Genomic DNA, 10,220 nt, shown 5'->3' with positions numbered 1-10,220 from the left:
TTCTCACTACACTATCACTTGGTCCTGTGGATGGGGAATTAGAATGGGGTAGAAACAGGGATCAGTTGGAGGATATGGTGAAAACTCAGATAGAAAGGGAAGAACAGATAATTGGGAGTGATTGTACTTTAATCCTTTCAAAGGTTTATTGAGTAGAAAGAACACTTGTCTAAATAAGCTCAGTGCATAGCAGTCATCCATATCACATTGCTTTATAACCAACATTCAAGGAATTATATTAGCCTCTGGGCTACAGAGCATATGGAAGTCCAGATGGGTGTGTAGATTTTTTTCTCTTTTCATTTTGTTCCACTTGTGCTGACAGTATCAGATTTTCCACCTCCACAGTCATAGCTTGTACTTGTAAACATAGTGGGTTCAGTGGAGGAGTGAGGGGGAAAGACAAAAATGTGTTTTATGAAGACAGAACGGAGTTCACCTTCCTTCTTAATGTCTAGCAATAGACAGGTGTCCTTGAAGATTAGTTCCTCTCTAGCAGGAAAAATTTCAGGTTTGGTGCTCTTTAGGAAAGAGTCAGTTTATAGCATCTTTAGCTTCATGGAGCTGAACGAATTTTTTGGTTGAGTTAAATTTTCCCTTTAGATAATCTATAATCCAAGAATGAGAACAAAACTTTTGAAAACAGCATCCAATTTTTCGTTTTGCTGCTTATTCCACTCTCTCCACCCTGGTGCTCCACAGATCAGGTCAGGGACCCTTAGTCTTCTAACAAAGAGGAATGACCTTCAGTTGCAGGAAGCTGGGGAGGGAAGGAAGAGAAAGAACAATATTAGATGATGCTGATATGGAGATTCCACTTGTAGTTGGGCGCTATCTCTAATGACTGTTACATGCTTCCTTCCTGGGAATCTTGGCAAATGAGAGGATAGAGGAATCCTTGCACTAGGAAATTGAACCGTGCAAGTAGACAGACTTTACATTTGCATAGACCACAATAAAGATACACCTGGACACAATCTCCTTTCAGTCACATGATGGAGATGAGCACATGTTCATTCACCATCTAGGAGGACACTTTGTGTTTGGATCACTCTATTGAGAAATGTAATACAATGAATAATGTCAGATATTTGATTAGAGGAAACAAAAATTACTCCATACTATGTAAAAATATAAAAAGCAGCAAGATTTCAGTACATGTGCCCTTGCTGACAGATGCCATCTTGTGAAGGCTCTTCCCTGATTGGGACGCACATGAATCAAACCAAAAGTAAATGCTATCAAGGGAAGGTTATTCATATTCAGAGTTATCTCCTTCAGCTAGGTAAAAAAGTATTGTAACTAGATTGTATAGAGTGGTAGAAAAAAAGTGCAATACCCATGATTTATGATAACATCAAACTGCCTTTCTCTTAGCTAGAATGGGCAGAAAATCTGAAGCAAATTACTCAGAAAACCCAAAGGCAGTGATTTTTGAAATCATACGACTTATCTCACCTATGACTGTGCTTGCTCTAGAACTTCTCTCTTTTTTTTTTTTTGAGACAGAGTCTCGCTCTGTCACCCAGATTGGAGTGCAGTGGCGCGATCTTGGCTCACTGCAATCTCTACCTCCCGGTTCAAGCGATTCTTCTGCCTTAGCGTCCGGGTAGCTGCGACTAAAGGTGCCCGCCACCATGCCCGGCTAATTTTTTTGTATTTTTAGTAGAGACGGGGTTTCACCATATTAGCCAGGATGGTCCCAATCTCCTGACCTCATGATCTGCCTGCCTCAGCCGCCCAAAGTGCTGGGATTACAGGTGTGAGCCACCATGCCTGGCCACTCTAAAACTTCTCTAAAGGAGAAGGTAAGCTCCTTCAGCAGGTTCTAACTGAATGATTGCTGTGTGTCTGCTACCGTGCTGGGAATGGGGAAACCATGTACATGTGGCAAATCCCTGCTCTTATAGGAGTCACTGATGAGAGGTGCAAACAAGAAAGGGGTATGATGGCAGCCAATATTCTAAGAGATGTACTACTCAGATAGCTCCTAATTGTTCTAGACCCTGTACTAGGCAGGGCTTTGAAATCTGCTAGTAGATCCCATGTTCTAGCTTGAGATTTCTAAAGTTTTGACACTTATAATCCACACTGCACTGAGGTATGTAGTCATTTCTTCTCTATTCCCAGGGTAGAAGGGCGAGACCAGAAACCTTACGAGGGGTTAGGCTACCTTAGCAGTCCACATTGTTTTGCTAATTTTTCCTCCATTCAGGCAAATAACAGAATTCAAGCTTTTACAGCTGAATAAGACAAAGCCTCCATTCATCCTTTGAGCAGGAAGAATGTGAAAAACTTTAGGAATGGAAGAGTCATTACCACTGAACCCAACAGACGATTCCCACATTGCTTGCTGGTATGGGCAGAATTGTCCTCCCCTCCCCTCCAATTCATATGTCAACACCCTAATCCACAGAATGTGACTGTTTTTGGAGATAGGGACTTTAAAGAAGTCATTGAGTTAAAATGAGGGCATTAGGGTAAGCTCTATCCAATCTGACTGGTGTCCTTGTTATAAGAAGAGATCAGGAAACACTGATACACATTAGAAACAGAGATACAAGGGATGCTCATGCACAGAGCAAGACCACGTGAAGACACAGCAAGACGGTGGCCATCTGCAAGCCAGGAGGAGAGGCCTGGAAAAGATCATTTCTTTATGGCCTTCAGAGGAAACCAACTCTGCTAGCACCTTGATATTGAACTTCTGGCCTCCAGGACTGTGAGAAATAAGATTCTGCTGTTTAAGCCATTCAGTCTGTGGTATTTTGTTTTGGCAACACAAGCAAACCAACACATATGCCTTTGCATCTTTCAGATATTCTGTGGCTTAGTAAGTTGATGGACTAACCTCCGAAAGGAGAAGAACCTCACCCTTTCCTAGTTCACATTCAGACAAGGAAAGGTGCTTGGATTATTCTGCTACCACTTTCCATGGCCACCAAATTGGACACCTTATGAATACTTTCTTTGCTATTCGGTCATCTCTCAAGTCCACAGAGGCTCTATTCACTTTGTGGATTAAGACTCTTTAAGAGTAGAACCTGAAAAGTCTCCCAATATTTGATATTTTAATATTGACATGCTTGAAGAGAGTGCTCAGAAATAAATGACCACTTCAGATCTGTTCTGGCTCAGTGATCCACAAGCATACCTTGAAAGGACTTTGGTCTTCTCTAAGGCTTTATAGAAATTCAAAGTAGTTAGTGTTTCGAAGATATTATCTGCGATTGAAATTTTTTTTCTATTGGATGCAGTTGAAAATCACATAGATAATATTTAATAATCAAGAGATTGACATGTAAATCACCATTGTTTGAAAAAGCTCACTGATGCAAAGATGTAATTTTCTCTCTCCTCCCCAAACCAGTAAGGAAGCAAATAACAACCTTCTTATAGTCCTGTGGTTAATAGATTGAGGATTTGTGTTGGGAGATAACAGAAATGCTTTTTTCTAGAGCTTCCTGGTTGATAAAGTGCTAGATAAAGCAGGCTTTTTACTGAAATTCATTTCCTCTGCTTAATGACTAATTGCAGCAAAATAGACATGGCTTCAAAATCATGTCTTTCCTATTTGCATTTTTTTCTTCTGATTCTTAGATTTAAAATTCCAGTTGTGCTAGAAATCATGATATGTCTAACACTTTTTGAAAATTATATAGATCAAAAGAGAAAGCATGTTCATAAAAAGCTTTGATAGTCTCCTTCTAATAAACTCCCTTTTAGACATTTTTAATTTATACAGAAAAGTAATGTTCAGTTGGGAAATGCTCAGATATTATGCTTTAAAGCCCTAATTTATGTGATCAGCTTGATCCACATGGTGCACATTATCCCTAACTTGTTGGCAACGGGAAAAATTTAGCTCAATAATATTTTCTACCCTTTGTGAAAAGAAAATATGATTATTAAGAAACCAGGGAGCCGAGCCCATTCTGGGCTGCTACTAGCACAGGTACCAGCCCAGTGAATGCAGAGCTGTTCTGGGTGGGCTAAGGACACCTTGGCCTGTCTAATTTTCTTTTGCTCTGGTTCCCAAGAGATTACTAATTCCTTTCTTATTTTATAGCCAAAGCCAATAGTAACGGACGACAACATCTGTGTTCAGTAGGTATATTTTTGCCAGCTTGCATTAAATAATTCATTATGGATGTTTATAGGGCCAAAATTAGCCTTTATTAAATATAGAAGCAGGCATCACCGCCATTCCCTAATGAGAGCAATCAATCCCTTTAATGATTTCTCTCCCCAAGTGGAATTGTCAGGACTTTAATTTTTTTTTTTTTTTTTGGCGTTTCTTATTTACCAACTGTTATGGATTGAATTATGTCCCCACCAAAAGATGTTGAAGTCCTAATCTCCAGTACCTGTGAATGTGACTTTATTTGGAAATAGAGTCTTTACGATGATCAAGTTAAGATGAGGTTATGGGTTGGGGGCGGTGTAATTCGGTATGTCTCGTGACCTTATAAAAAGGAGAAATTTGGACGCAGAGACAGACATGCACAGAGGGAAGACAGGAAAGCCTGAGGCCACCAGATGCTGGGAGAAAGGGATGCGCAACTGATTATCTCCCACAGGTCCTCAGAAGTCCCTACTGACACTTTGACTTCAAACTTCTGGTCTCCGGAGCTGTGAGACAATAAAATAGCTTTTTGAAGGAGCCAGCTTGTGGTACTATGTGACAGCAGCCCCAGGAAACCACTGCAGCAACTGATTAGGCCTGCTCTACCAGGGTTAGGGTATTTCCACTCATTTGAAGACTTTGGATGGATGACATGGGCTCCCATGTTAAATGATCACCTCATTTAAAATTGCACCCCCAGACACTTTTTATCTCCCTCTTTTGTATTTTTCTCCTTACTTATCATTGTTAGTGCACATTCTATATTTTATTTATCTTTTTTGTCAGCTTTTCCTCTCACCAAAATGTGAGCTTCACAGAGGCAGATTGTTGACCGTTCTTGCTTATGTTCCCCAGCAGTAAACAACGTTGATACTCAGATATTCATGAAATGAATGAATTGCTTCATCTTTTTTGTCATCATATTTTATTCCACATAAACCTCAACACCTCTCTTACTTCTGAACACAGCCACTAAAAAAAGGAATGAAAAGGGGTTCTGTAGAAGATCCTGGGAAATTTGCCTAATCTAAGATGTATTTTATTCGAAGTTGCAAGTAGTAGGAGAGTAAGATTATTATTCTTTAGGATAGATCTTTTCATCTTTCCTTTCTATTGATCTCTATACCTTGGTATCAGCCCATTTCAAGTCCATGCGATTTTAATAATTTTTGAGTAAGTAACATTTATTTCCTAAAGGATAGCACCGTAATTTTGAATGTCCATATTTTACTTGAAATCTCTGATTTTAGATTAACTACTCATAGAGAAAAGCCATGAATTTATAATATGCTTAGGTTCAGATTTTCATCCAGTACACTTTGGTAGGCACTATGCATGAGTGGACGAATTATCAGCCCCCTGTTAAGGTTCTGAGATGGCTTTCATGCCTGTGAAATTACTGTCCCTGGAGAGAATAAATAATACTTCATAATAATGGCCCCTGTGGGCTGGGCATCCTATTGTTTGTATGAGGTTATGATGTCCTAGGCTGGATCCCTTCCTTTGTCTCTTCTAACCTGGAATAGTATGCTCTGGGCTTCCCAAAGGTTTTTCATTTAATTTAGGATTAGCCCAACATATAGTTACTACCTAGTTGATGGCCATGTTTTTATGTTGCTGAAATCAAAATTTACAATTCACTTGTGTGTTCTAGTTCCAATCCCAGAGCAAAGTAGAGCGATGCTTTGGGATCAAAAAACGTCTTGCTATGCCTGTGGCCCTGGGCAGATTATTTAGACTTTTGAGGCCTATGAAAAAGAAATAACAATAGCTAACCCTACATAATTATTATTTAGAGAACAAAATGAATGTAAGGCTCTTGAACATGATAGATGTTCTGCAAATGGCAGAGACTGCTATTTTCCCTTGTAGGCTGGTATGTTTGATTCAGTATTTACTTAAGCTAAGAACTCCAGGCTGCTCAGATTTCAGCAGAAATATTAACAGCGGCGCTTTCCCCACAGGTGTGGGCAGTGCGGGATGCCTCTGATCCACTTTGATTCTTCCACATTGTAGATATGGATGTGATTCTGTGCAGAAAATTCAGGTTGCGGGTGCCAATGGGAAAAGGAGGGGTGTGTGTGAGTGCTCAGAAAGAGCCTTGAGGACTCTCTAACAAAGTCCTCTTTAAAATTCCACTTGGAAAACTTCCCAGTGACCACAACCTCCTTTCTTTGATAGTTGCTATGATTGTCCGAAACCTTCTGGGAGATCTATGAGTCCACTGCTGTATCACTCAAGCAGAAACACTTAGTAAGTCCTTCAGCAACAACCTCACCTGTTTTTCACAAATAACTCACTCCCAATTCCACTGAGGAGGTGTAGATGTTCGTTAAAGCATTTCATGAGCATAGAGAGAAAAATAAAATCAACCTGAAAGATAATTTATGAGCAACTTTCTTCAGTTTGAAAATATACCAACAAACCTAGCAGAAGCCACTCTGGTTTTTATGTTTTTTTTTTTTTTTTGTTATTGCTGTTTGTCATTTTCGTATGATAACCACCTGTGGTCGTTAACACTTCCTATTTCTAACACAGGGTCTCAAACATCTGCTGCTGCAGCCAAAATGTCCCTCAACACACTTAAACTTTATGTCTCTGAAATGGGAATTTCATATCCCACTGTTGGAATTACGCACATGCCTTCTTTCGCCTGCAGTCTGGTGATTCTGCACTCTAGCTCTGCGTTCCTAAAGTAGTTTGCACCATCCTGTTCATCCTCACAACTGTGTTTAGGTATCCCCACAATTGTCTTACCTTTCCTGCTGGATTTCAGGCTCATTGAAGGCAAACATGAAGTCTCCTACGATTTTATGTCTCCCTGTGCACCTAGCAGAGTGGGGGCTCAGTAAATGCTTAGTGTATATATTTTGCATGCAATTCTGTAAACATAATAATACAGAGCCAACAGAGAGAGTGGCATAAAAGATGAGGGAAAGGAAATGGAAAAACATCACTTTGGTTGTTTTTTTTTTTTTTTTTTTTTTTTTTTACTGAAATGATTTTATAATATATAGTCATGAATTAGGTCCTAAATTCAAGGTCCTAAATTATGCCAACACTTTAAAATAGCCAATGTTATCATAAGGATTGAAAACTCCGTGTTTGTATATGTTAGAGGTTTTTTTCTTCCATCCTGAACATAGGTTCTGAAAATAAAGAAGCTTAGATTGAATTTTCCCTGCAAATGGTTTATCCTGGAAATCCTTTTCTCCTAAGCGCAACTCTGGGTATTAAATGGTTGCTGCAGCTCATCAGTCTCATCTTCAGTAAATTATCCCGAGAGAACACAATATCGAGTCTTGGAGGTTTTAAAGATATTAACATTCTAGTATGATGCTATTTTTTTTTTTTACTGGAAAGAAACTGATGTAATTTGACCTTAAAATATGAAATGTGATCTTCCATTCAGACCAAACAGAGGCTCTGTATCTCGTGGACCACATTTCCTGTAAATGCCCTATGTGTGTTCTAAAGGATGTATTTTTTTCATGGTCCCTAAGTGAAACTTAAATTATGTGTGCTCAAAAATGTTGTTTTGCTTTCAAGAATTTCATGACGCTTTAAAAATAATTTTCAAGTATGAACCATAATGTGAACATAATTTACCATCCAGGTAGCAGTTATTTTCACTAAAGAATAAATGTTTTCATTTTGTTTAGATACAGGCATATTTTTCTTATAAAAAGAGAATATTATAGTTGTGTATTTATGATACAAAAAAAGTAAAACTAGAAAATTAGACATTTGCATAAAGGCAAATGCAGAATTAAGCCCACATAGAGCTGTGTGATATCCTTTACTGGGTGGGAGTCACTATCTCGGCCTGGACACTGACATTGTCCAGGCTTAACACATACAATTTCTAAATAGAAAATCAGATGAAACCAGGGAAAGCAAAATGTATTGTTTTTCTTAATTTAAGGCATAAATGACGAGGATAGCATCTGCGGAATTGAGAACAATGCTGCCTAAGGACCCTTTTTAGGCTTTCAAGATAGCTCCCCTGGCAGGCTTATTGAGCTCAGAAATATCCAAATGAATCTGGAAAAGAAAAAGTCTTTCTAACGTTGGGTCATTAGAAGTGGAAGATGAAGATGTGTAACATTCCTTTCCTGCAGGCTCAAGTTCCTGGATAATGTCTAGTCTGTGTTCAGGGAGGCAGAAAATATATGATATAAAGAAATCTTAGTGAACATTATGTTTCTGAGTTCATTTACCTCATGATTCAGGCAAGGGAATGCATGTGTATGTGAGTATGTGTATGTGTGTATGTATGTATCGTATATGTAGGCAATGTGTGGGTGGTTTATATGTAGTATGTATGCATGTGTGTGGCATGTTTGAGTATGCATGCACATGTGTGTGTGGTATATGTGTATGGAGTGTGAGTGCATGTGGTATGTGTATGTGTGGTGTATGTGTGTATATGTGTGTGGTATATGAATGTATGTAGTGCATATTTGATGTGTATGTGTGTAAGTTGTATGTATTCACATGTGTATATTTGGGGTACACGTGGTATATGTTTATGTGTAGTGTGTGTGTGTAAGTTTTGTGTGTGTGTGTGGATTACTTGTAAATATATTTTTATTGAAAGAAAAGTGGCTCCAGCTTTCATCCCTTCCAATCCATGCTCCTCTTTGCTCCAGGCTTATCTTTCTAAAACACAAAGCTGAGCTTAGCTTATCCCTGCTCCAAAACAAAAACAAACCCCGAAACACGGCTCTTCAAAGCCTGAGAAGACAATTGGCAGCACTTGTTAACCTGACCCCAAGATACCTTTGTCAGGTGTTGGTTGTCTGGCCCTGCCCCACCCATCCCTCCTGAATTTCATATGCAGTCTCTGCAAGGGTGGCGCTTGCAGGGGTCAGGAGAAGTTAAGAACACAGGCTCCGGAGCCAGATCACTTGGGTTCGCTCTACCATTTACTAGCTGTTGCTTGCATTTAGGCTGGTTACTTGATCTCTCTGAGCCTCGTTTTCCTGATTTATACAGTGGGAATGATAATAGTGTGTCTGGAATTGGTGGGTTCTTGGTCTCACTGACTTCAAGAATGAAGCCGCAGACCCTCGCGGTGAGTGTTACAGTTCTTAAAGGCAGCGTGTCTGGAGTTTGTTCTTTCTGATGTTCGGATGTGTTCGGAGTTTCTTCCTTCTGGTGGGTTCTTGGTCTCGCTGGCTCAGGAGTGAAGCTGCAGACCTTTGCAGTGAGTGTTACAGCTCTTAAGGTGGCGCATCTGAAGTTGTTTGTTCCTCCCGGTGGGTTCGTGGTTTCGATAGCCGCAGATCTTCACGGTGAGTGTTACAGCTCATAAAGGCAGTGTGGACGCAAAGAGTGAGCAGTAGTAAGAGTTATTGCAAAGAGAGAAAAAACTAAGCTTCCACAGCATGCAAAGGGATTCAAGTGGGTTGCCACTGCAAGCTCGGGCAGCCTGCTTTTATTCTCTTATCTGGCCCCACACACATCCTGCTGATTCGTCCATTTTACAAAGAGCCGATTGGTCTGTTTTACAGAGAGCTGATTGGTCCGTTTTGACAGGGTGCTGATTGGTGCGTTTACAGCCCTTGAGCTAGACATGAAAGTTCTCCATGTCCCCACTAGATTAGTTAGATACAGAGAGCTGATTGGTGTATTTACAAACCCTGAGCTAGATACAGAGTACTGATTGGTGCATTTACAAACCTTGAGCTAGATACAGAGTGCCGATTGGTGTATTCACAATCCCTTAGCTAGACATAAAGGTTCTCCAAGTCCCCACCAGATCAGCTAGACACAGAGCGCTGATTGGTGCATTTACAAACCTTGAGCTAGACACAGAGTGCTGATTGGTGCATTTACAAACCTTAAGCTAGATGCAGAGTGCCGATTGGTGTATTCACAATCCCTTAGCTAGACATAAAGATTCTCCAAGTCCCCACCAGATTAGCTAGATGCAGAGTGCCGATTGGTTTGCATTCACAAACCTTGAGCTAGACACACGGTGCCGATTGGTGTATTTACAAACCTTGAGCTAGATACAGAGTGCTGATTGGTGTAATTACAATCCCTTAGCTAGACATAAAGGTTCTCCAAGTCCCCACCAGATCAGCTA

General features: G+C 40.0%; 2 annotated features.

The window, feature by feature from the left end:
- Window positions 1,675–2,188: an enhancer, noted in NCBI's record as "OCT4-NANOG-H3K27ac hESC enhancer chr13:60022655-60023168 (GRCh37/hg19 assembly coordinates)". NCBI's record gives its function as "activates a minimal SCP1, AML or CMV promoter by ChIP-STARR-seq in naive and primed H9 embryonic stem cells {active_cell/tissue: H9 hESC(naive and primed)}" and the evidence as "EXISTENCE:reporter gene assay evidence [ECO:0000049][PMID:30033119]".
- Window positions 2,189–2,702: an enhancer, noted in NCBI's record as "OCT4-NANOG-H3K27ac hESC enhancer chr13:60022141-60022654 (GRCh37/hg19 assembly coordinates)". NCBI's record gives its function as "activates a minimal SCP1, AML or CMV promoter by ChIP-STARR-seq in naive and primed H9 embryonic stem cells {active_cell/tissue: H9 hESC(naive and primed)}" and the evidence as "EXISTENCE:reporter gene assay evidence [ECO:0000049][PMID:30033119]".

Source organism: Homo sapiens, chromosome 13 (genome assembly GCF_000001405.40).
Source record: "Homo sapiens chromosome 13, GRCh38.p14 Primary Assembly".
NCBI classification, from domain to species: Eukaryota; Metazoa; Chordata; class Mammalia; order Primates; family Hominidae; genus Homo; species Homo sapiens.
Note: the sequence above shows the minus strand (reverse complement) of the source record. Positions and strands in the feature narration are given on the sequence as shown.